Raw genomic sequence first — 27,047 nt, 5'->3', positions numbered from 1 at the left:
GTCCCCCAGGCTGCAGTACAGTGGTGTGATCTCAGCCAGCTCACTGTGACCTCAGCCTCCCAGGTTGAAGGGATCCTCCCACCTCAGCTCCTGAGTAGCTGGGACTACAGGAAGAAGCCACCATGCCTGGCTAATTTTTTAAAGTTTTTTGTAGAGATGGGCATCTCACTAGGTTGCCCAGGCTGGTCTCAAACTCCTGGGTTCAAGCAGTCCTCTCTCCTCGGCCTCCCAAAGTGTTGGCATGACAGGCATGAGCCGCTACACCCGACCTATAATTCTGGCTATATCATTCCTTGGTCAACCACCTTCAATGGCACCCTCTTGCCTACTGAAGTAAGTCTCCTTCCTCACTCCTGTCCTCTTTGTTCATCACCAATTATTTACCCAACCCACCTTTCTAGCTTGATTTCCCTCTACTACCCATATGTGTTATGCCAAACCCCTCTGTTTGCTCTGCCTCAGACAATTCCTGTTTTTCTCATGTCTGTCACCTTCATTCACACTGTTCTTCCCACCTGAAACCCCCTCCGCTGTCTCAGCCTCCTTCCTCGTCCCCATTTCCCCCATCCAAATCTTCCTCAATCCCAAAGGTTGTTTCCAATCAGCTCTCCATGCCCCCGCCTTCTGACAAAACGCAATTCTCAAAAACTCACAGGGCGCTTTGTGATTCTCTTGCCATATCTGGTTTACTTTTAACTTCACTCCTAGATAGGTGAACTTATATTGGACAAAACTTTGTAGAAATGCTACTGTGTCTAGCTCAACTTAAACTTATCCCACCTGGAGAATGGGTGTGAGGACAAAGAAGATGGAGGAATGTTCATTTTTACCTTATGCACTTCTGCATTGTTTTTGTTTTTTATAATTAATAAGCAGGTATTACTTGTGATTTAAAAAAAAAGACTAAGCATCACTAAATAACCCAACAAATTTAACACAGAGAAAACATGGTGTCGACTCCCAAGATGGACTCAATGGACGTGTCACTTGCCAGAACTTCAATCTTGAATTCATCCATCACATATTTCCAGAACTGGGAGGACTTGATGCTGAAGGGGTCAAAGGTCAGGTTTTCCATGGGGGTGACTAGGCCGTCCACTCTGCATAGGACATCATCAATGCGCTTGGGGTCCCCCGTCACTGCCTTTAGTTCTGGACCAAATATGTTATAAAATTCCTCCAAAATCTGTCCAATCAAACGGAACAATGAGGAGATTACATTTGGGTTTTCCTGTGAATATTAGAACTACAAATGGATAGCATATCGAGACTGACCTGGGGGCAAGAATCATGTCACACAGTAACCTCCTCCCGGACTAAGCCCTTCGGTACGATGCCCAAGGCACATAGGATAAGATCCAGGTCTGCACCTGCCTGTTCCTCCCCACATTGCAGCCACCCCCACCCTCCTCCAAGGCCATGTCCCTTTCTGCCTCAGGACCTTTGCACTTGCAGTTGAAAGTGCTTCAGGGAGGCTGAGGGGGGCGGATCACTTGAGGCCAGGAGTTCAAGACAAGCCTGGCAAACATGGCGAAACCCTGTCTCTGCTAAAAATACAAAAATTAGCCGGGTGTGGTGGTGCATGCCTGTAATCCCAGCTACTCAGGAGGCTGAGGCAGGAGAATCACTTCAACCCGGAAGGCAGAGGTTGCAGTTAGCCAAGATCGCACCACTGCACTCCAGCCTGGGTGACAGAGCGAGACTCTGTCTCACATGCACACACACACACACACACAAAGAGGTGAGATGATAAACCACTGAGGTAGTTCTATGCAGCGTTTCCACTGTTCTGGTAACAATGAAATACCCATGCACACACTAGCTACGGTGATTCCACATAGAAGTTAAATATTTTTTGTTTTTGTTTTGGGACAGAGTCTTGCTCTGTCACCCAGGCTGGAGTGCAGTGGCACAATAGCTCACTGCAACCTCCACCTCCCAGGTTCAAGCAATTCTCCTGCCTCAGCCTCCCAAATAGCTGGGATTACAGGCGCCCGCCACCACGCCCAGCTAATTTTTGTATTTTTCATAGAGACAGGGTTTCACCATGTTGGTCAGTCTAGTCTTGAACTCCTGACCTCGTGATCCGCCCACCTTGGCCTCCCAAAGTGCTGGGATTACAGGCGTGAGCCACCGCATCTAGCCGAAAAAGCTTTATATTTTTAATTCTTTTTTTTTTTTTTTTTTTGAAGCAAGGTCTCACTCTGTCGCCCAGGCTGGGGTACACTGGCGTGACCACGGCTCACTGCGCCTCAACCTCCCAGGCTCAAGCCAACGTGCCACCTCAGCCTTCTGAGTGGCTGGGACTACACGTGTGCACCACCACACCTGGCTAATTTTTGTATTTTCAATAGACAGGGTCTTGCTATGTTGCCCAGGCCAGTCTCAAATTCCTGGGTTCAAGGGATCCTCCCACCCCAGCCTCAAAAAGTGCTGGGATTACAGGTGTGAGCCATCATGCCTGGCCTGTTTGAATTCTTTTTACAGCATTTTTTTTTCCTGTCTTTGAGCACAGGGCATCACCTCCCTCTCGGGCTGGGCACTGCCACACCGCAGCCGGACCTGCTTTGTACTCACTATGGTTCCTCTAGCATTAAGACATCTGAGTACCCGGCACACCGTGAGTTCTCCGTGAATGCATTTAGAATGAAGGGGTGGGTGAACCTTTAGGAGACAAGTGCTGTGGCTAATTCAATCAGCCACTAGGCACTTTGTCCATCCGTGGAGCTCTGGGAAGACTGGGCCTGGCTGAGGGAGAGTGAAGAGAGGTCTCAGACTGGCCTCTTGAGGGATTCCAATACTTAAGGGGAAGGCAGAGGAAGGGAGCTTTGCAAAAGACACAGAGAAGGAGTGGCCAAAGAGGTCAAAGGAAAGCCAAAAAGCAGGGAGAGGGAAGAATGTCAGAGAAAGCAACAAAAAGTCGCAAAGCTCTGGTGTACTCTGGTCCATTCTGGTACATTCTAGTATATTCCGTAGGTTCTTTCTTTGAAGGGCTTCTCCCTGCCAGGCCCTTTCTGACGCCCAGCTCCTACCTGACACGGAGGGGGCCACTGTCAAAAGCCAACTGCCTTCTTCGGGGCAAATTCCGCCGGCCTTCGCCCAGCCCCTACCTGCAGAACGTCGGAGAGGTCCTGGCAGATGGTGGCCATATAATCCGTCCTCTCGAACAGCCGCTTCCGGTCAAACTCCCACCGATCTTCCCTCCCCGAAGCCTCTATCTTGGCCCGGGTGTCAAAATAGGCCTTTTTCCACAGCCTGAGGGTGTTCCTGGCTTCCAAGGTTTTGCTTTGGGCACTCGCTCGATTTTCTCTGCGAAGCCAAGAGATGCCGTGATGGGAGGAGGGCGGAGCTCCGGGTCCGAGCCGCACTCCCCGGCTGGGGAGCCAGTGTCCCGTGAAGCTCTGACCCGGGCGCCCCCCCTGGTTTCACGGCCTCATCGGAAAAGGCAGAGCGGGCAAGCGGCTGCCCTGTCCCATGTGCAAGGGCGGGAGTCCCAAGCTGCGAGGTTTCCGTTGCAGCCGCCAACCTGCGTGCAGGGCTGGGGCTACCTGGTGACCTCGCTCCCTACACCAGAAGGGGCAGGTGGCCTTGGCCCCAGGCCAGAGGTCAACAGCGGCAGCTGCAACACGGCGCAGGACAATGCCTCCATTTGGGTACCTACTTCACCTATGCAAATAGACAGAAATGGAGATCTAGCTATGCAGGTAGATAGAGAGAGAGAGAGAGATGTATATAAATAGATATGGATACATATAGATATAGATATCTATCTATAGATAACAAAAAGTCATATAGTGTCTGATTCCATTTATATGCTATCTATATAAATACATATACATAGATAGACATAGATACCTATCTGTATAGATGGATATAGACATAGATACCTATGTATAGATATGGATAAATATAGATATCTATCTAGATACATATAGATAGATCTACATAGATATCCAGATAGATCTGTCTATCTAGATAGATCGCTAGATGATGATATAGATACAGATATAGACAGGTGCAATCTCGGCTCACTGCAACCTCCACTTCCTGGGTTCAAGCGATTCTCCTGCCTCAGCCTCCTGAGTGGCTGGGATTACAGGCGCCCACCACCACACCCGGCTAATTCTGTGTACTTTCAGTTGAGACAGGATTTCACCATGTTGGCCAGGCTGGTCTTGAACTCCTGACCTCAAGTGATCCGCCTGCCTTGGCCTCCCAAAGTGCTGGAATTACAGGCGTGAGCCACCGCACCCGGCCTCATCTATATAGATATTTTTTAAGAAAGTGAAAAAAGTTATCTGTCTCCCTTAGCATCCTCCATCATCTCCCTACACCCTCAAAGGTGGTTCCACCTCAGCCTCAGTCTCTCCAGGTACAACTGGGGAAGAACATTGCAGTTAAAACAAAATTTCATGTAGATATATGTGTGTGCACACACACATATATGTATCTGAAACAAAATATATCTCCATACAATGGAATATGATTTAGCCATAAAAAGGAATGAAGCACTGATCCATACTACGATGTGGATGAACCTTGAAAACATGCTGCTAAGTGAAAGAAGTCAGTGATAAAAGTCACATAGTGTCTGATTCCATTTATATGCAAAAGACAGCACGCTGTATGGTTCCCAGGACTTGGGCAATTGGGGAGAGGCGAGGACTGACTGCTAAAAGGCACACGTTTTCTTTTGAGGGATGAAGAACATGTTCTAACATTGATAGTGGTTACGGCTGCACAATTCTGTGAATATACTAAAAAAAAAAAAAATGAATTGTACTTTTTTTTTTTTTGAGACAGAATCTCGCTGTGTCGCCCAGGTTGGAATGTAATGGTGTGATCTCCACTCACTGCAACCTCCGCCTCCCAGGTTCAAGCAATTCTCATGCTTCAGACTTCCATGAAGCTGGGATTACAGCCCACCACGCATGGGGTTTCACCATGTTGGCCAGGCTGGTCTCGAACTTCTGGCCTCAAGCAATCCGCCACCTCGGCCTCCCAAAGTGCTGGGATTACAGGTGTGCACCACTGTGCCCAGCCATAAGAGCCAGTGAATTGTACATTTTAAGTAAGAGAATTATATGTGAATTATAGCTCAATAGAGCTGTTTAAGATCTAAAAAGTAAAAAGTGAAACAAAACAAAACAAAAAAATGAACGCCATGGCTTCTTACTTGAACAAAGTCCGCAGGTTGACCACTCGGCAGACTCTCTCAGCGATTTCCCAGGCGATGCGCTCCATGAGCGGAATCATCCTCTCGTCTTTGTTGTAGTGTCGGGAGATGATCCACACCATCCGCAGGGCACTCATCATGGCGGGGATGGTGTCCAGGACCACGTGGAAGCCAGACCCGTGCGTTATGTTCTGACCAAGAGAGGAGAGAGCCACGCAAGAGCCCTTAGCCTTGGGGTCCAAATAGTTTCATAAAACAGTAAGCATGCAAGAAGTTTCACTCTTTTTTTTTTTTTTTTTTCCTTGAGACCAAGTCTGGTGCCCAGGCTGGAGTGCAATGGCACAAACATGGCTTACTGCAGCCTCGACTCCCCTGCGGACTCAAGTGATCCTCCCACCTCAGCCTCCCAAGTAAGCTGAGAATACAGGCATGCACCACTACACCGGCTAATTTTTTATTTTTATTTTTGTAGAGATGAGGTCGCACTATGTTGCCCAGGTGAGCAGACTTTTTTTAATCTCTTATAATAATAACTCAAATAAATAACGGGCAAAAGATTAAAACAGACATTTCACCAACAATATGAAATTGACAATAAGCACATTAAGTACATAAAAAGTTGTTCAGTCTCACTAGTTGTTAAGGAAATGCAAATTAAACCACAATGGCTATTATCAGAAAGACGATAACAAGTGGTGGTGAAGATACGGAAAAACCAGAACCTTCGTGTATTGCTCTTCAGAATGTAAAATGGGACAACCACTTTGGAAAACAGTCTAGAAATTCCTCAAGAGGTTAAACAGTTACCATATATGACCCAGCTATTCCACTCCTATGCATAATACATGAATAATTAAAAACACACATCCACACAAATCCTTGTACAAGAATGTTCGTAGCAGCATTCTTCATAATAGCCAAAATGCAGAAACAACTCAAATGCCCACCGACTGATGAATAGAGAAACCAAATGTAGTCTATCCATGCTATGGAATATGATTCTGCCACAGAAAGGAGTGAAACACTAACACGCTCCACGCTACAACACAGGTGAACCTTGAAAACCTGGTGCTGAGTGAAAGAGACTGCACACAGGATCAGTCCTGCATGACTCCCCTTATATGAAGTCCCTAGAGTAGTCAGATTTACAAAGACAGAAAGCAGAACAGAAGTTACCAGGGACTTAGGGTAAGGAAGAAGGGGGAGTTAGTGTTTAATGGACACAGAATTCCAGTTTGGGAAGATGAAACTGTTTTGGAAATAGTGTAATGGACACACAGCATTGTGTATGTATTTAGTGCCACTGAACTGTATGCTTAATAGTGGTTAAAATGATAATATCATGTCATGTCTATTTTATCACAATTTTTTAAATTCTGAGGTTTTTTTTGAGACAGGGTCTCGCTATGTTGCCCAGGCTGGAGTGTAGTGGCGCAATCTTGGCTCACTGCAACCTCCATCTCCCAGGCTCAAGCAATCCTTCCACCTCAGCCTCCTGAGTAGCTGGAACTACAGGTGCACACCACCATACCCAGCTAATTTTTGTATTTTTTGGAGAGACAGGGTTTTACCATGTTGGCCAGGCTGGTTTCCAACTCCTGAGCTCAAGCGATCTGCCCACCTCAGCCTCCCAAAGTGCTGGGATTACAGGCATGAGCCACTGCTCCTGGCCAAATGCTGAACATTTTTAAAAGGGAAATTAAATCATATGAAATCTCTTTGACAGAGCTGACTGCAAAGTGCAGCACACCCAGCATACCTTGAAATAACGCTCCACGGTGGAGAGAAAGCGCACATTGTCTGAGGCCTCCGTGTGGAACTTGAATAACTCGGTGAACACTGGCTGCAGATTAGCCACAAGCATGGAGTCGGATTCCTTGATCACATCCAAGACTTTTCTGACTATTGGAAGCTTTGTTTGTTCATGCAGCGCACTTAAGGTTGCATTTCTTTCCCTCCAGAATTCAATTTCAGCCAGAGGGCCTTTACCCTGAGAGGTGAAATGAACACACAAAGAACTCTCATTATTAGGGTGGAGCAGACACTTATGGTGGTTTCTCCAGCATCCGTTCTTTCTGTCCAACTGCTCCAATCCTTCAGGGTCTTCAGGGGTGGGCTCTTGACCCTGGGTGGTCCAATCATAGTGAATCTCAGGGCTCCAGCTGAGAATGCTAGAAACACACTCTGCCTTTCTCCGGACAACTGAGGTGTACAGAATGTGAGGCCAGAAACTGCTGCAAGGAAGCCAGCCTGAGGAATGAAGCTCTCCAGCCCCTAGAAAGGGGTCTAGAACTGAGAGATTCAGAAATATAGCCAGAGCCCTGATCAGACTGGACCTGAAGCCAACCCTGCCTCTGGACTTTTCCATTATGTGAGCCAAGGAATTTGCTTTCTTAGTTGATCGACTTGAGTTGGGTTTCCTGTTTTTGGCAGCCCAAGCTTCCTGACTGATCCAAAGTGTTATCTTTATCAATCCAGGCAGTAACCTGGTAGCACATTAACATCAGAAAGCCCAGAAATGATATTTTGGGTGTGTTTATTTTGATGGCTTAAGGAAGTCATAAAACAGTAAGAAAAGATGCCAGATGATGCAGACCCCAGACTCCGGGCTCTTTCCCAGCATGGTAAGCATGACCTGGATCGGGGCTCTCTGAAAGCCCTGCACAAACTACCTGAGGTGTCTTCTTCAGTTGGGCCTCAACCGCTGTGGATATCTGATTCAGCCAGTTTATCACACACTGCTCCAAGATGTCAACGGTTTCCGGGTCAGCTGCCAGGTCAGACACCTCTCCCTCCACACTGATGATTGGCATTTCTAACTTGATCTCACCTAGGAAAATAAAAGTGATCAGTCAGTCATTCGTTCAGGAAAAATGATTACAAAGAGAAACATTCAAGTTCACCGGCTGGGTCGTCTCTCAAGCTTCATCAGTATAATAAGGTCTGACGCATCCCCTGTCCTGATAATATCTGTATCTCATTCTCTTTCATTAGAATGTAATTCAAACATTTTAGATAATTGTTCCGGTGTTAAGCTTGATCAAAATGATTTAGTTATTTAAGATGTTCCTGAGTTTATAACCTAGTGACTTCAATTTTTAAAAACTTGAACAAAGAGCCAGCAGACATTTTAGATAACCACCAGCCTGAAACAGTCAGTCAAAGATAAATCAGGGGAAAAATGACATCAGGGGAAATTGAAATAATGTAAAGAAAAGGAGAACAGGCCAGGCACGATGGCTCACACCTGTAATCTCAACACTTTGAGAGACCAAGGCAGGAAGATCACTTGCAGTCAGGAGTTCGAGACCAGCCTGGCCAATGTGGCAAAACTCCCTCTCTGCTAAAAATACAAAAATTAGCTAGGCATGGTGGTGTGTGCCTATAATCCCAGCTACTTGGGAGACTGAGGTGGGAGGATTGCCTGAGCTCCCAGAAGGTTGAGACTGCAGTGAGCTATGTTTGTGCCACTGCACTCCAGCCTGGGCGGCAGAGTGAGACCTTGTCAAAAAAAAAAAAAAAAAAGAAAGAAAGAAAGAAAGGAAAGAAAAGAAAGAAAAGGGAAGGGGAGGGGAGAGAAGGGGAGGGGAGGGGAGGGGAGGGGAGGCAGGGCAGGGCAAAAGGAGAACATTTCCAAAAGGAAAGCCCAACTATTTGTCTCAGAGATTTGAGACATATAGCATCCATCAAACAAGAACAGGATGCTATGAAAAAAGATACAATCAGAGAATCAGAGGTCTTAAAAATTAAAAATATAATAGCTGATATGACTATCAATCAAACGTTGGTAACATAGAAGTTGAAGAACACTCCAGGAAAGAATACAAAGACAAAAAGATGAAAAATACAAGAGAAAAGATAAGAAATAGAATCTCTAGACATCCATCCAGCAGGAATTTCAGCAAGAGAAAACAAATAGTGGAGGAAAACGTCAAGATGATTTTTCAGTCTTTGGACTGAAAACACCCACTGAGTGTTTAAAAAATCAATGGAAAAAATTCCACACAAAGGCCCATCATCCTAACACCAAAACACTAGGGATAACCAGATGCTCTTAAAAGCTTACGTAAAGGGGGAGGGGAGAAAAATTAGAAGAACATTCAGTTTCTCATCACTGGATGTTGACTACTAGAAAACAATGAAGAAAAATGTATTCAAAAATCCTGTGCTAGGCTGGGCACAGTGGCTCACACCTGTAACCCCAGCACTCTGAGAGGCCAAGGTAGGTGGATCACTTGAAGTCAGGAGTTTAAGACCAGCCTGGCCAACATGGTAAAACCCCGTCTCTATTAAAAATACAAAAATTAGCTAGGTGTGGTGGTGCACACCTGTAGTCCCAGCTACTCGGGGGGCTGAGGCAGGAGAATCCCTTGAACCCAGGGGGCGGAGGTTGCAGTGAACCGAGATCTCACCACTGCACTCCAGCCTGGGCAACAGAGTGAGGCTCTGTCTCAAAACAAAAAATCCTGTGCTAAAATGATTTTTGCCAGCCTGAGCGACAAAGTGAGACCCCGTCTCCACAAAACAAACAAACAAAAATGTTCCAAAAGTTAGCCAGGCATGGTGGCATGCACCTGTAATCCCAACTACAGTAAATTAATCATTCTTAACTAAAAAGGAGGAAAATGAAACCTTACCTTCAAGTTGCTGCATGGTTCTTTGAATATTACTTGCAAATTTCTGCACGTTCATTAAAAATTCATCCCGTATTAATTGAATACTGTGATATTCTACTGCCTCCCCAGGCATGGGCGGCAGGTCTGATTCATGCTCAGAGGAATTAGAGACTTCTCCAGATGTGACTCCCACGGTTGTACTCGTCCTGTGCTGATTGAAGGACAATGCTGGCAAAAAAACCTGAAATGCCAATTTTATGAAATACATCATATGAAGTCATTTTCAATAATTCATGTATTCAAATTGCCTCTGGTTTTGAATATTCTTTATTCAAATTGCCTCTGGTTTTGAATATTCTTTTTTTTTTTTTTTTTTTTGAGACAGAGTCTCACTCTGTCACCAGGCTGGAGTGCTGTGCACTTGGCTCACTGCAACCTCCACCTCACCAGTGCAAGCGATTCTCCTGCCTCAGCCTCCCAAGTGGCTGGGATTACAGGCACACACCAGCACACCCAGCTAATTTTTGTATTTTTAGTAGAGATGGGGATTCACCATGTTGGCCAGGCTAGTCTCGATCTCCTGACCTCATGATCCACCCCCGGCCTCCCAAAGTGCTGGGATTACAGGCGTGAGCCACTGCACCCAGCCTGAATATTCTTTTATATTGAGATACAAATATGCAAAGTGAAAACCACTCAAACCGGAGCACAGACCTAAAGACAGAGAGATTACATTTGACTTAAAGTGATCCAAGGGCATCAATTTTAACCAGGCCTGACACAACTGCCCCAAAAACAGTGCTGTTATTTCTGTATACCACCAGTAACTGAGAAGTTACAAACTGTGGCACAGGGAGCTGGCTGCGGTGGCTCATGCCTGTAATCCCAGCACTTTGGGAGGCCGAGGCTGGTGGATCACTTGAGGTCAGGAGTTCGAGACCAGCCTGGCCAACATGGTGAAACCCCATCTCTACTAAAAATACAAAAATCAGCTGGGTGTGGTGGTGCACACCTGTGGTCCAAGCTACTCGGGAGGCTGAGGCATGAGAATTGCTTGAACCAGGAGGCGGCGGTTGCAGGGAGCCGAGATCGCACCACTGCACTCCAACCTGGGCGATAGAGCAAGACCCTGTCTCAGAAAGAAAGAGAGAGAGAGAGAGAGAGAGAGAGAAAGGAGGGAGGGAGGGAGGGGAAACTGGCACAGGGAGGTAAGAAACTGTGTTAAACCATCAGCTCAGGACCATCTTGTTCTTGAAAATTAAGTTCTTGAGGACATAGTTTCTTCAAAATGTAGCTAGAGAGAGAAGCATGCATTTATGAAGTCACCTGAATACAATTACGAAACAACTTAGCCCCCAGCCCACATAAAAAGTGATCTATAAATGCCTGTGGGTTGATTAAGTTGGTTGGTTGGTTGGCTGAGTTTTGTTTTTGTTTTTTAGTTTTGTCTATATTTCTTAAAATTTTGATACATCTTTTTATGACTCTTTGAATCTATATGTATTTCCTGCAACATACTGAAGAACCCAGAATGTTGGATTTGTAGAGCTGCCCAATCCAAATTTTGCTGACTACACACTCACTGTGCAGTTGAAGTTCCTCTGTGATGTGTATTTCCTGCAAATTGGCAGCTGGGACCAGAGACTTGACCAGGGTGTATCTTCCATCAGGAATCAAATTCTTGGTTTTGGTTTTGTTTCTCTCTCTCTCTCTCTCCCCCACCCCCAGGTCCATTAATCAAGTGGGGGTTCCAAAATTGAAATGTTCTAAAATGTCTGTTTATTAGCTGAGATGCTGATATAAAGACGCCTCTCACAGCTACTGCTAGATGATCCCGTACATTTCATATGGGGAAGGCAACATAAATGCTTGACTCCTCTTTATTTGCCCAATTTTTGAAATAGTACAGTGGTCCCCTATCATCCTCCAGAAATGACCCATCAGGACTTTTAAAGATCATTATAAATTCATGGATTTGAAAAGCTGGGCATGGTAGCTTATGCCTGTAATCCAGCACTTTGAGAGGCCAAGGCGGGAAAATCTCTTGAGCCCAGGAGTTCGAGAACAGCCGGGGCAACATAGGGAGACCCCATCTCTACAATTAAAAGAAAAAAATTAGGCCGGGCACGGTGGCTCACACCTGTAATCCCAGCACTTTGGGAAGCCGAGGCGGGTGAATCGCGAGGTCAGGAGATCGAGACCATCCTGGCTAACATGGTGAAAACCCATCTCTACTAAAAATACAAAAAATTAGCCAGGTGTGGTGGCGGGTGCCTCTCTCTAGTCCCAGCTACTCGGGAGGCTGAGGCAGGAGAATGGCATGAACCCGGGAGGCAGAGGTTGCAGTGAGCTGAGATCGCACTACTACACTCCAGACTGGGCGACACAGTGAGACTCCGCCTCAAAAAAAAAAAAATGAGACAGTCTTAGTGGTGTGCACCTATAGACCCAGCTACTCCGGAGGCTGAGATGGGAGGATCACTTGAACCTGGGAGTTTGAGGCTGCAGTGAGATGTGATTGTGCCACTGCACTATAGCCTGAGCAATAGAGTAAGAACTGTGTCTCTTAAAAAAATGTTTTTAACTCATGCATTTGAACATATATATTTTTTTTCTTTTTTTTTTGAGATGGAGTCTCTTTCTGTCACCCAGGCTGGAGTGCAGTGACATGACCTCAGCTCACTGCAACCTCCACCTCCTGGGTTCAAGCAATTCTCCTCCCTCAGCCTCCCAAGTAGCTGGGACTACAGGTGCATGCCACCATGCCCAGCTAATTTTTGTAATTTTAGTAGAGATGGAGGTTTCGCCATATTGATCAGGCTGGTCTCGAACTCCTGACCTCAGGTGATCCATCCACCTTGGCCTCCCAAAGTGCTGGGATTACAGGCACGAGTCACTGCGCCTGGCTGTATTTGAATATATTTTCTATGCTTCAACCCACTGCAATTTTATCCTTACTGAAGGTCAAAATATCCCATCTGTGGCTGGCATGAGCCTCTTCAAGTTGAGCCCTGTGTCCTTTAGACATGACTGGTTGTCATAATGCATATAACCACTAAGAATTAATTATACATCATGTTTTGATGTCATCTTATTTATTTTTCATTTTTTTTTTTTAGAGATGGAGTATCTCTCTGTCACCCAGGCTGTAGTACAGTGGCATGACCACCATGCACTGCAACCTTAAACTCCTGGGTTCAAGCGATCCTCCCACTTCAGCCTCCAGAGTAGCTGGGACTACAGACACCCACAGCCATGCCCAGCAGATTTTTCTTTTTCTTTTTGGTAGAGATGGGGTTGATGTTATTTTGTTATTTTAGAATGAAAAGTTCAGTTTGCATAAGAAGGTAGCCAGTGTGGCCAGATATGGTGGCTCATGCCTGCAATCCCAACATTTTGGGAGGCCGAGGAGGGCAGATCACTTGAGCCCAGGAGTTTGAGACCAGCCTTGGCAACATACTGAGACACCGTCTTTAAAAAAAAAATACAAAAATCATCCAGGCATTGTGGCGTGCACCTGGCTAATTTTTAGTAATCCTCCCAGCTACTCAGGAGGCTGAGGTGGGAGGATCGTTTAAGCCTGGGAGGTTAAGGCTGCAGTGAGCCATGCTCGCGCCACTGCACTCCAGCCTAGGTGGCAGAATGAGACGCTGTCTCAAAAATAAGTAAATAAAAATAAATAAATAAATAAGAAGGTAGCCAATGTTCTTGAGTCCTCCAAAGTCACACTAGAAAAAGACATCATCCCGATGAAGGAGGTTGTCTTCAGGTAGAAAGTCCCTTGTGTGCAGGCAGCTCAGTGGGGAGGGCCCCACAGCCTAACTCACAGGATGACTTGTACTCCGTGAGACCTCGTCTGCTCCCATCCCCAGAACTGCTCACATGGAAGTCACCCAGGGCCAAGCCCTCCAGCTCTTCTTTGCCTGTGCCTTCTTGACTTCCAGCAGCAAGTGGCACGGCGGGCCCCTCCCTTCTTCAGTGAAGCATTGTCTTCTCTTGGCTTCTGGATCACCCACGTCCTAACTTTCCTCTCCCCTCATCTCTTCCATCTCTACTCCCTCCCTTGGTTGTTCCACCCAGTCCCTTGGTTTTACACCATCTCTGTGCTGATGATGCCCATGTTTTAAAGCATCACTCTGGTTGGCATGTGGAGAAGGCAGCGTAGAGGGTAAGAACAGAAACTGAGGGATCTTTTTGGAGGCTCCTGCGATAGTCCAAGCAAAAGAGGATATTGTGTTGGTTTGGACTTTTTTGTCCAAATCTTCTCAGTGAAGTCTTCCTGGCCACCCTATCTAAAATTGCAAAAGCCCCACCTTTCCACCTATCAACTTTCCCTCTCCCCCTTGTTTCCTTTTTCTTTCCTATCTGGCTTCATTTTTCTCCCTAACTCTTGTTGCTGTCTAACACACTATATATTTTCTCATTGATCTTGGTTAATGTACATCTTCCTGTCTAGAATGAAAGCTCCACGAGGCAGAGACCTTGTCTCAGTTGTTCATTGCTATGAAATACAGTAGGTGCTCAATGAATATTTGCTAGACGGATGCCCTGAGTTCCCCGCAGAGCTCCAGATTCATACATCCTGCTTCACGTCTTGATTTGAATGTCTAAGAGGCCACCTGTGCTTAACATTATACATCATGTTTTGATGTTATCTTAATTTATTTTTCTTTTTTTTTTTTTTAGAGATGGAATATCTCTCTGTCACCCAGGCTGTAGTGCAGTGGCATGACCACCATACTCTGCAACCTTCCCGTCTAGAATGCAAAATACAACACTTGAGTTTCCCTCCATATCTGTTTCTCCCCATCCTCCATCTCAGTAATGACTTCACCATCCTCCCAGTTTCTCAGGCCCAAATCCTAAGAGTCATTCTTTTTTAAATTTTTTTTTAGAGATGGGGCCTTGCTATATCGCCCAGGCTGTTCTCAAACTCCTAGCCTCAAGCGATCCTCCCGCCTCACCCTCCTAAAGTGCTGGGACCAAGAGTCATTCTTGGTACTCTCTATTCTTGTGATACTCTTCAAAGCCTCCAGATCCCGGTCATTAGCAAGTCCCATGGCCTGATCCTCAAGGCATTCCTCACACTGTCTGCTTCTCCCTCCCTCCCCTGATTGGAGCCTAAATAACCATCACCCTTGATGTGGTTTGGCCGTGTCCCCACCCAAATCTCATCTTTAATTGTAGTTCCCATAATCCCCACGTGTCATGGGAGAGACCTGGTGGGAGGTAATTGAATGATGGGGGAGGTTACCCCCATGCCACTGTTCTCATGATAGTGAGTGAGTTCTCATGAGATCTGATGGTTTTATAAGCGGCTTTTCCCTCTTTGCTCAGCACTTCTCCTTCCTGCCGTCATATGAAGAAGGATGTGTTTGCTTCCCCTTCCACCATGATTTTAAGTTTCCTGAGGCCTCCACAGCCATGCAGAACTGTGACTCAATTTAGCCTCTTTCCTTTATAAATTATGGGCAGTTCCCTACAGCAGCATGAAAATGGACTAATACAGCCCTCCACCTGGGCTCTTCCATGGCTTTCTATTTGGTCTTTCCTTCCCCTCCACCCCAGCAATATGTTTTCCCACAATAGCCAGAGGTAAAATGCAAACCAGATCCTGTTGTTCCCCTGCTTAAACCTGCCTTCATTTCCAGCCCTCCCTCCAGCCACAGTGGCCATCCTCCTGCTACTGGGCCAAGCTGAGGCTGCTTCTACCTCAGGGCCTTTGCACCTGCTGTTCTCTCTGCCCAGCATGCTCTTCCTCCACATCCTATCATGTCTGATGCCTTGGCCTCATTTGGGTCTCAGTTCAATATCACCTCTTCCTTCCTTCCCTAGTGCATTTCCCTAATAACTTATCATTCATGAAAAAGGCCTGCTGATGAGTTTTTCATTTTTTTGGTCTATAAAGCTCAGGCCAAGCATGGTGGCTCATGCCTGTAATCACAGCACTTTGGGAGGCCAAGGCGGGCAGATTGTTTGAGCCCAGGAGTTGGAGACCAGCCTAGGCAACATGGTGAGACCCTGTCTCTACAATAAGTACAAAAATGAGCCAGGCATGGTGGTGTATGCCTGTAATCCCAGCCACTCAGGAGGCTGAGGCAGAAGGATCACTTGAGAGTTGAGGCTGCAGTGAGCCGTGATTGGGCCACTGCACTCCAGACTGGATGGCGGAGAGACCCTGTCTCGAAAAACAATAAAAATAAAAAAGAAAGCTTAGACATCACATCCTCAGCAAGGCCATTCCTCACCATGCCCTCTGCACACACACAGTGCACATGCCTATTTCTGTCTCATATCAGGGTTTATTTTCCTCATGCCACTTGTCGGTATTTTCTCATAGATGTGCTTGTGTGCCATGTCTTTCCCCTACATAAGCTCCTGGAGAGCAGGGCCATTGCCTGTCCTGTCCACTGCTTGACCCTCAGTGTTGGGAGCAAGACCCCAAAATCTGGCCACAAACTGGCCCCAAAACTGGCCATAAATAAAATCTCTGCAGCATGGTAACATGTCCATAATGGCCCCAACGCCCAAGCTGGAAGGTTGTGGGTTTACGGGAATGAGGGCAAGGAACACCTGGCCCGCCCAGGGTGGAAAACCGCTGAAAGCCATTCTTAAGCCACAGGCAATAGCATGAGCGATTTATGCCTTAAGGACATGCTCCTGCTGCAGTTAACTAGCCCACCTATTTCTTTAATTCGGCCCATCCCTTCGTTTCCCATAAGGGATACTTTTAGTTAATTTAATATCTATAGAAACAATGCTAATGACTGGTTTGCTGTTAATAAATATGTGGGTAAATCTCTGTTTGCGGCTCTCAGCTCTGAAGGCTGTGAGACACCTGATTTCCCACTTCACACCTTTATATTTCTGTGTGTGTGTCTTTAATTTCTCTAGCGCCGCTGGGTTAGGGTCTCCCCAACCGAGCTGGTCTCAGCACCTCAGTGCCCATAACAGCACCTGAGACAGAAGAGCTGCCCGCTACCTATTTGTGGAATAAACAAACCACATGACCTCAACTTTAGAAATACTAGAATTTCTTCCTTTCTCCATGTTTACCTGACATATAATATTCTTCAGAAAATGGAGCACATTAGCGTTTATAATTCCATACTCCAGTGTTTCTGGCATAATTTCCATAGCTTCCTTCATGTCGGTAGCTTCAGAGATTGCCTCTAAAGAAGAACAGGTGTAGAATGTAAGGTCAGTGGGAGAGAGCAGCCAACAGTTAACATTTCCAAGAGAACAGGAATCTTCTCCTTCTTCCCAAGCTGCTACAAGGAATGTTCTGGTTACAGATTCAGAATATCCCCTATTTGTGTTTAAACAAATCTGAGGGCCCATGAGAAGCTGAAATGGATACCAATGCACTGTGGTTCGTGGATTAGTATGAACAGTGCACAAGAGCTGCACACATTTGCTGATCTGGTTGGAGTATCTAACGCTGGACAAAATCAGAAATTATTTGGGTTGTCTAGAAATGTTGGCTGGATTCTTTGCTGCTATGGACTGAATGACCCCAAAATCCACATGTTGAAGCTTAAATCCCCAAGGTGAAGGTATTAGAAGGTGGGGCCTTTGGTAGGTGATTAGGTCATGAGGGTGGAGTCTCACGATTGGATTGGTGTCCCTATAGGAAGAGACAGGAGAGCTTGCTCTCTCTCTCTCTGCTCTCCACCATGGGAGGATAGGAGAAGGTGCCATCTGTGAACCAGGAAGTGGCCCTCACCAGATGCCAGATCTGCCAGCACCTTGATTTGGACTTCCCAGCCTCCAGAGCTGTGAGAAATAGATGTTTGTTGGTGAAGCCCCCCAGCCTATGGCAATTTGTTACAACCATCCAAGCTGGCTTGGGCATGGGCTTTGCCTGTCTTCACTCCCCAGCAAGTCTTCCTCAATTCATTGCCAAAGCATATTTTGAGTCATGGGTTGTTTGAAAAGACCTACTTGGTAATATCTACCCTTCCAACAAACAAGGTTTTATTTGATATGTATTTGCTCTACCTGACCAAAAATCAATCACCATGGTAAACATTTTAAAGGTTACTTGGACTCTTCCCTTGATCTAACTGGGAAACAAAAGAGACACAAGAAATATGCCCACTGAAGCCATTATTTCACAAGTTTCAGTCTTCACACCTTCTCCAAATATGTGCAGACATGCACTATCACTGGCTGAATACATTTCTTTATCTCTAACACTTCTTTACTGGAAATTAGCTTTGAGAAGACTACGTAAGAACCCAGTACAGTATGGAAAAGAAAGAGAGCTTGGCATAGGTGAAAGATAACCATAAAAAGACAACAGAATGAGAGTGAACAAGTGCATGCACAACCACACCCCCTCAACACACATACACACACACGTGCCAGAAATGTACCTTTGGTATTTCTGAGGAAAAACACCACGTTTTGGTCCAGGAACTCCTCGGGAAGAGGGGTACAGAGCATGTGGAGATGCATCTTTTCCATGATGTGCTTCGCAGTTCTCTGAAACATGGGGAACAAAAACCATTCATTCTTGTGATACATCCATTCACCTAAAGAACCTAATATTCAAGTACACCTAAGCTCTCCTCTCAACACAATGGCTGGTCTCATGTTCTGACAATGTAGCCACAGCCACACAGTGGGTACCAGCCAAACACAGGAGCTAAATGCACCCAGACTCTGAGCTGTCAGCCTGACTCCTCTATTGACCAACCAGTACAGCAACACCTAAACAAACTGACCTGGCAAAGGTCCAGATGGAGCTTGAATTTTGTTTTGCAGATGGGACGTACTTATGAAGCAATGAAGCACGATTTTGGTAAGCATAGGCCAGGCTGAATGCTTACATCCTAGCCTTAAACTCCAACCTTGGGGTTTTCACAGAACAGGGTTCATTTAGCAGGTCTGTGTTGTCCAAACCCCACACATGCCAAACGTCTTCAGAACCGGCCTTCGGCTCTTAGGGTGACAACTTCCAAGCTTTTGGAATACCCTTCCTAATATGGGAGTCTTTGTGTACCTGTAGCCTTGGGCCATGCCTGAAGGTGTATGCTAACAATGCGAGTTTGGTGAATGCCTGTTTTTGTTTGCTGGGGCCCCAGTCATACAGGATCAGTTCAACCTCTAGGGTGGTGGTGAGGGCTGGAGATGAAGGGGAGCTGAGTAACTAAGGTCAGCCACGTGGATGCTCCATGCCTGTGTGACTGATCCCCATTAAAAACCCCAGACAGCAAGGCTCAGGTGAGCCTCTCTGGTTGGCAATACTTCATGCATGTTGTCACTCATAGCTACCAGGAGAATTAAGTGCTATCCATGAAACTCCATTGGGAGGGAACAGATGGAAGCTTGTGCCTATTTTCTGCTGGTCTCTGTCCTGTGCACGTTTTTTCCTTTTTTTGCTGAGTCTAATTTGCATCCTTTCCCTGTAATAAACTATAACTATGAATATAACAGATTTTCTGGGTCCTGTGAGTCCTTCCAGCCAATCACTGAATCTGAGGGTGGCCTTGGGATCCTATAATTTCCATTCCAACATGATAAATCCCTTGGATGGGGCTATGTCAGTTACCCTGAATCCTAGAGGGCATCAAGGGTCCCCATTACCCCACCAACAAGGACAAAGAGCCATGCTTACTTTGGAAGGGAGTTTTTCTGAAATCTCTTTGTCCATTTCTTCATCCTCTCTGTTTAGAGGTTGGCCTAGAGATTCGGTTCTCAGTGACACACGCTTAGCTGCAAAACAGCAATCAGTTTAAGAGAAAATAATCAGAAAATTAGGTTTCCTACCATCAAGAGCAGCCCTGCATTTTGTGCACCAGTACATTTCATTCAAAAGGCGAGTTATCAAATAGCTGTGCATACCTTCTGTTCCAATCAATCAAATTGTGGCCTTGACTCACATTGTAATTGACAAGAATTGTGTTTCGTTTTTGACAGGGTGTCCATCAGAAATTTTACATGTTTGTGTCTGCGTTCTCTCAGGTACAGTGTCCACCCTGTGACCGTGTGACTTCTCTGAGGTTTTTTACTTAAAAGGGAGTTTATCATAAAGACAAGAATTACAGTCCAGGCGCAGTGGCTCATGCCTATAATCCCAGCACTTTGGGAAGTTGATGTGGGTGGATCACTTGATGTCAGGAGTTTGAGACCAGCCTGGCCAGCATGGCAACACCCTGTCTCTACTAAAAATACAAAAATTAGCCGGACATGGTGATGCATGCCTGTAATCGCAGCTACTCGGGAGGCTGAGGCAGGAGAATCGCTTGAGGCCAGGAGGTAGAGGTTGCAATGAGCCAAGATTGTGCCACTGCAGCCTGGGTGGCAGAGCGAGACTCCATCTCAAAAAAAAAAAAAAAAAAGAATTACAGCTAGCATGTTAGCATTTACTCCTTTTTCACTATGAGATGCAAAACTTGTGAGGGACAAGAAGAAAAACAGTCTAAATGAAATGACGCACCTGTCTCAAGTCCACTCTGATTGATACAGATTCAGAAACCTCAGCAGACACCAAGTCTGAGCCCTCAGAACATCCAACAAGGCCGGTGATTAGAGAAAGGAGCTTTCCCTGGGAGCTTTCCCTCAGCTCTTACTTTGAAAGGCACTGTGCAAAGTCACTGTGGCTTTGGCATCAACTCAATGTCAGGGGTCTGAATCCTCTCTGCTATTAGTTTTTGCATCCATAAAATGGGACAGTAACATCTACCAGCCAAATTCTGGAGGACTAAATGACAGCACGGGTAAGGGCATTGGCACCGTGGTTGGCAAGGGAATAGTCTATAGACAGCAGTACCAACATTATTAGAGAACTAGCAATAGACTACAGTAAAAAAAAAAAAAAAAAAAAAATCACACTTACGAGCAGGTGCCGTGCCATAAATAGCCTGTAGTCCATTGCTAATTCCCTAACAGCATTAGAGTAGTCTCTAATCTCTACAAAAAATCAAAATGTTATCCAGGAGTGATGGTGCCGCCTATAGTCCCAGCTACAGGGTGGAAGATCATTTGAGGCCAGGAGTTTGAGACCAGCCTGGGCAATGTAGTGAAACCTCATCTCTACAAAAAAAATTTTAAAAAAAAATTTTTTTTTGAGACAAATCTCACTGTGTCACCCAGGCTGGAGTGCAGTGTCACGATCTTGGCTCACTGCAACCTCCGCCTCCCGAGTTCAAGCAATTCTCCTGCCTCAGCCTCCCGAGTAGCTGGGATTACAGGTACATGCCACCATGCCTGGCTACCTGGCTAATTTTTGTGTTTTTAGTAGAGATGGGTTTCATCATGTTGGCTGGGCTAGTCTCGAACTCCTGACCTCAAGTGATCCTCCTGCCTTGGCCTCCCTAAGTCCTGGGATTATAGGCGTGAGCCACCACAACAGCCCAAAAAATTAAATTTAAGTTAAAAAAAAAAAAAAAAACCTTAGCCAGGCATGGTGGCACACATCTGTAGTCCCAGCTACTTGGAAGGCTGAGGCAGGAGGATCGCTTGAGCCCAAGAGTTCAAGGCTACAGGGCACTATGATCACACCACAGCACTCCAGCCTGGGCCACAGAGCAAGGCCCCATCTTTAAAAAGGAAAATACACTTATGAATGTACTTAATGCCACATAGAAATGGTAAAAATGGTAAAAGTGACATCCATTTTACCACCATAAAAAGAAAAGAAGAAAATATATAATAATGTTAATTTACTTTATGAGAAAGGACTTCCCCGACCTTCCCACCTAAACAGCTCTTCCTTCCCAAACCTGTCCTCTTCATGGATGTACTGGGCTCCGAAGCCGAGAGTGCCTTCCTAGGATACCTCAGCAGACATTGCTGTGGCATCCAGAACTACCATCTGCCTTATCAAAACCCACTTTAGGCCGGGCGTGGTGGCTCACGCCTGTAATCCCAACACTTTGGGAGGCCGAGGTGGGTGGATCACCTGAGGTCAGGAGTTTGAGACCAGCCTGGCCAACATGGTGAAACCCCGTCTCTACTAAAAATACAAAAATTAGCAAGATTCTGTCTCAAAAAAAAAAAAATTAGCTGGATGAGGTGGCGTGTGCCTGCAGTCCCAGCTACTCAGGAGGCTGAGGCAGGAGAATCGCTTGAACCCAGGAGGAGGAGGTTGCAGCAAGCCGAGATCGCACCATTGCACTCCAGCCTGGGTGACAGAGCAACACTTCGTCTCCAAAAAAACCAAAAACCCACTTTAAACAAGGCTTACTCAAACCATCTTTTATTTCTAACTTGTAGTTCCCTCTCCACAGTCTTTGCTACTTGAGGGGATTACAATTTGGTTAAAAATAAATGCTTGGCCAGAAGCAGTGGCTCATGCCTGTAATCCCAACACTTTGGAAGGCTGAGGTGGGAGAACTGCCTGAGCCCAGGACTTCAAGACCAGCCTGGGCAACATAGTGAGACCCCATCTCTACAAAAAATCAAAATGTCATCCAGGCATGTTGGTGCACCTCTACAGTCCCAGCTCCTCAGGAGCCTGAGTCAGGAGGATTGCTTGAGCCTAGAAGTTAGAGGCTAAAGTGAGCTATGACAGCACCACTCCAGCCTGGGCAACAGAGTGAGGTCCTGTCTCAAAAACAAATAAATACATGAAAAGTTCTGTGCCTTGAAGATTCTCCTAAGAAAATGGCATCTGTAGCTTGCACAGTGGGAAGCCCACCTACAAAACAAAGTACAAAGCATGTGTTTGCTGAGCTGGCTGAGACATCGCCTGCATGAGTGTTTGTATGTTACATACTACACTCGGTTGAAGAGTGTCCCCCACAATGCATGTCCTAAAGCTGTGACCTCATTTGGAAACAGGGTCTTTGCAGATGTAATTAGTAAAGATGAGGTGATATGGATTAGAGTGGGCCCAAAATCCAATGTGACTGGTGCCTGTATAAGAGGGAGAGAGGACGGCCGGGTATGGTGGCTCACGCCTGTAATCCCAGCACTTTGGGAGGCCGAGGAGGGCGGATCACCTGAGGACGGGAGTTCAAGACCAGCCTGGCCAACATGGTGAAACCCCGTCTCTACTGAAAATACAAAAATTAGCTGGGCGTGGTGGTGGGCGCCTGAGATCGCAGCTACTTGGGAGGCTGAGGCAGGAGAATCACTTGAACCTGGGAGGCGGAGGTTGCAGTGAGCTGAGATCACGCCATTACACTCCAGCTTGGGTGACAAGAGCGAGACCCTGTCTCAAAAAAAAAGGAGGAGGAGGAGGAGGAGGAGGAGAGAGGACACACGGAGAAGAAAGATACAGAGGGGACAAGGCCATGTGACGATGGATGTAGAGACTGGAGTGATGATGCTGCAGGCCAAGGACACCCTGACCCCCAGACTGCAGTGAGGAGGCTAGGAAGGATCCTCCCCTTGGTCCTGCAGAGGGAGCGCAGCCCTGCCAGCACCTTGATTTTGGAGTTCCGGCCTCCAGAGTTGTGAGAGAATACATCTGTGTTGTTTTCAGCCACCCAGTCTGTGGTCACTTGTGACAGCAGCCGTGGGAAACTACTACATCCGTCTATTCATGACCCAGCACTTTCTCTTTGTGGTTCATACCCAGTGAAAGTACAACTGATTGTGGCACGGCAGGCAGCACCCTACTCCCGCTGCGGGGGGGCTTTCTCAGTTCCACCCTCCCATGACCCCTCCCAACTCCACACCTCGCACTTTATCCACGGACTCCACTTTTTGAGAATAAGTCTCTTCTTCCTCTTCTCCCTCTTCAGACAGGACAGGTATCTCATCTTTATGGCCACATAAATGGGAAGAAAATATTAAACGTAATTGTTCACTGCATGAAACACCTGATATCTTTGCTTTCTGTGGAGCCAAGGGGTTGGTATGTGGCCCACAGGAGACTCGTTATGTTACAGTGGTACAGCAGTATTCCTTACTGGATGGAGCCAGCTTTCAGTGACAGCCAAGGAGGTTTGTGCAAATTCTGCCAAGAGACGAAGGATACAGAAATGATCAGAGTTACCACCAGCCCAGAAGAAATACAAATAACCAAGAAGCATAAGAAAGAGGCTCCTGGGTGCACAACACTATGAACGTATTTAACACCCTAAACTGTACATTTCAAAATGGTTAAGATGTAAATTGCAGGCCGTGTGTATGTTACCACAATTTAAAAACTGAAGGAGGCCAGGCGCAGTGGCTCATGCCTGTAATCCCAGCACTTTGGAAGGCCGAGGTGGGTGGATCACTTGAGATCGGGAGCTCGAGACCAGCCTGGTCAACATGGTGAAACCTCGTCTCTATTAAAAATACAAAAAAATTAGCTGGGTGTGGTGGTGCGCGCCTGTAATCCCAGCTACTTGGGAGGCTGATGCAGGAGAATCACTTGAGCCCAAGAGGCGGAGGTTGCAGTGAGCCGAGATCACACCACTGCACTCCAGCCTGGGAGACAAAGTGAGGCTCTGTCTCAAAAAAAAAAAAAAAGAAAAAAGAAAAGAAAAGAAAAAACTGAAGGGAAAAAAAGAGGCTCAACTACACTAACATTTACATAAATTAGAGTAAGGGAGTACAACTACTTTTTTCTATGGAATTGCCAAAAATCTAAAAAATGGCCAATATCAAATGTCAGGAGGCCATTGGGAAACAGGTGCCTCATCCACCACCACTGGCTGTGGACCAACAGGACCCACTCAAATTGTAAAAGACCACACTTGTTACAGATGCATTTCATTTTTATAAATCTATCCTCCAGAAATACACAAAGTATGCAAGGATAGACAGACATTATTCCATTGTTTGTAGAATGAATACTCTGAAAAGCTAAGTGTCCATTAATTAGAGAATGGATGAGTAGAATGTGGTACATCTATGTATTTAAATCTATCAAGTTAGGTAGAACTATAGGAATTGGCATGAAAAAATAACCAAAACATGTGGTGGGGGGAGAAGTCACAAAATAATATGTATATATAGTATGATATTTATAGTTTTAGGAACTCTATATATCCATATATTATCATTATAGAGAGAAATATAGACTGTAGATGGAACAAGGATAGACAGATATAGATGACAAGCAGGTAGGTAGGTAGGTAGGTAGGTAGGCTGATTAATTGATCTCAACAGCCCTGACCTTATGCCTAGACAGACAGAGATAGACAGACAGACAGATAGATAAACAGACATGTAGGTAGGTACATAGATAGATAGATGTATAGATAGAGAGAGATAGATGTATAGGTAGGTAGGTAGACAGGAGATAGATGTATAGATAGATAGACAGACAGATGTATAGATAGATAGATGTATAGATAGATGTATAGACAGATAAACAGATGTGTAGATAGATGTATAGACAGAGATAGATGTATAGGTAGGTAGATAAATTGGTAGATAATTGATAGATGGATAGATAGATGATAGGTAAGTGATAGGTAGACAGACACACAGATTGGTCAGTTGGCACGTAGATAATAGAGGGATAGATGTATAGGTAATTAGGTAGGTAGACAGGAGACAGACAGATAGATGTATAGGTAGGTAGGTAGATAGATATATAGATAGAGATAGATGTATAGGTAGGTAGGTAGATAGATGTATAGACAGAGATAGATAGATGTATAGGTAGGTAGGTAGATTGGTAGATAATTGATAGATGGATAGATGATAGGTGAATGATAGGTAGATAGACACACAGATTGGTCAGTTGGTAGATAGATAATAGAGAGAGATAGATGTATAGGTAGGTAGGTAGACAGGAGATAGATAAATAGATGTATAGATAGAGGTATGTATAGATAGATAGATAGATAGATAGATAGATAGATAAAGTATAGATAGATGCATAGGAAGGTAGGGAGACAGATCAGTCGGTTGGTAGGTGATTGGCTGATTGATTGACTGATAATTTGACAAAAGAGCCAACCAGAAACACACCAAACTAATAATAGTGGTTACCCCTAGGAATAAGAGCAGGACTGGGGCTTAAGGGATGGAGAAGCGTTGCTTTTTCTTTTTATATGTAATTCTATGTTCTGTGAATTCATAAGAGAACATGTGTTATGGCAGTATTTGTGTAATTTCTTTAAATGTAAGGAAGTTACTAAATGATATGTACAGTACGATTCCGTTTTGTTTTTTCCAGAAGGAACACATGTACCTACTGCATCAGTATCTTGGGTATCTGCTGCCCGGAAGGACACCTCGCCTTTATTACCACCACCTGCCCCAGTATCTGCTTGTCTCCATTCCTATCATTTTTAACCAGGAGCAGAGAGAAATCTTGACCGGGGAAGGGGGGCAGAAAGAGGAAAAAAAAGGAAACAAAGGACACGCTGGGCTCTCTGCAGGTCCTCTGAACAGACCAGAACCACCTGTCCCCCAAAAATAATCTAGGGAAACTGTTCAAGGGTTATATGAGCCTGTAGGTTTAACAAGCAGAGAGTGAGTGACAACGTGTGGAGTTGGGGATGAGGTCTCTTCTCCCCACCTGGCCAGAACCCCCAACACCCGACGCCATCTGGCACCTCCAGAATCGGCAGCTTTGAGAGTTTCCAGAGACAGCATCTTCGGCGAGGAATCCATCAGCTTTTCACCATGAGGTGATAGTGGAGAAGGGACGGGAATGGAAGGGAAGACCAGGGACAGAGACAGCCCAGAAACGGGTCAGGGGGCGGGGTGGGGGAGTTCTGAGCTCCCTTTGGAGGGTCCAGGAATTAACCAGGGGGACCCTCTGAGGTGAGACTGAACTCTGCTTCCACACTGGATGACATTTGGGCTAAACACGTGCTAGTAAACACAGCAGACAACAGCCACCCCACCGTTAACAGAGGCCCTTGGAGGGCTTCTGCAAGAAATCCAAGTCACATCCATTGTTTTAGGGTCTTGTAATTTTTTTTTAATGTAAACGAAACCCGAGTTCCTGCAGTGGTGGTACATGTTAAACGGTCAATCCTGCGAGTGTGTTTTTGGTTTCCATAATTTCACTTGGTGCCAATGAAAGTGCCTACATCCGAGGTCCAGTTATAATCTAATGTTCAGGTCCAAAGGTCTGCCAGGGAGAAAAAAATAATAGGCTGGAAGGTTAAATTCCAAAACGTGATCACGTGGTCCTCTCTCCAGATGGCACTAGGGATTTGTTATTGTTGTTTATTTATGGTTTTGGATTTATGATGAAGGCGTTTTATTTTGTGCAAGCAAATAATGAATATTTAAAATAAATGAAGGTGGCCAAGCGCGATGGTTCACACCTGTAATCCCAGCACTTCGGGAGGCCGAGGTGGGCAGATCACTTTAGGTCAGGAGTTCAAGAGCAGCCCGGCCAACAT

General features: G+C 45.7%; 1 protein-coding gene and 1 long non-coding RNA gene across 10 annotated transcripts in view, besides 1 other annotated feature; one reads left to right on the top strand and one right to left on the bottom strand.

The window, feature by feature from the left end:
- DNAH10 (dynein axonemal heavy chain 10) overlaps positions 1–27,047 on the bottom strand; it is a 173,420-nt gene that overhangs the window by 144,608 nt on the left and 1,765 nt on the right. For all 9 annotated transcript variants that reach the window (NM_001372106.1, XM_017018960.2, XM_011538016.3 and 6 more), the window contains exons 2-11: positions 23,424–23,507; positions 19,415–19,512; positions 18,171–18,279; positions 16,849–16,964; positions 9,814–10,033; positions 7,849–8,006; positions 6,936–7,166; positions 5,177–5,367; positions 3,111–3,309; positions 992–1,186 (exon numbers count right to left, since the gene is read on the bottom strand). In NM_001372106.1, the coding sequence (NP_001359035.1) occupies positions 992–1,186; positions 3,111–3,309; positions 5,177–5,367; positions 6,936–7,166; positions 7,849–8,006; positions 9,814–10,033; positions 16,849–16,964; positions 18,171–18,279; positions 19,415–19,512; positions 23,424–23,507 (1,601 nt within the window). The remainder of the gene's footprint in view (positions 1–991; positions 1,187–3,110; positions 3,310–5,176; positions 5,368–6,935; positions 7,167–7,848; positions 8,007–9,813; positions 10,034–16,848; positions 16,965–18,170; positions 18,280–19,414; positions 19,513–23,423; positions 23,508–27,047) is intronic.
- LOC105370044 (uncharacterized) lies at positions 186–25,945 on the top strand. Its single transcript, XR_945481.4, has 5 exons — positions 186–333; positions 941–1,064; positions 1,245–1,362; positions 2,516–2,620; positions 25,865–25,945. It is a non-coding gene; the product is annotated as an uncharacterized LOC105370044 (long non-coding RNA).
- Positions 23,250–23,409: an enhancer, noted in NCBI's record as "active region_7275". NCBI's record gives its function as "activates an Ori minimal core promoter by ATAC-STARR-seq in GM12878 lymphoblastoid cells {active_cell/tissue: GM12878}" and the evidence as "EXISTENCE:reporter gene assay evidence [ECO:0000049][PMID:35858748]".

This window comes from Homo sapiens, chromosome 12 (assembly GCF_000001405.40).
Source record: "Homo sapiens chromosome 12, GRCh38.p14 Primary Assembly".
Lineage (NCBI taxonomy): Eukaryota > Metazoa > Chordata > Mammalia > Primates > Hominidae > Homo > Homo sapiens.
The sequence above is the reverse complement of the archived record's forward strand: the minus strand, read 5'-3'. Positions and strand labels throughout refer to the sequence as shown.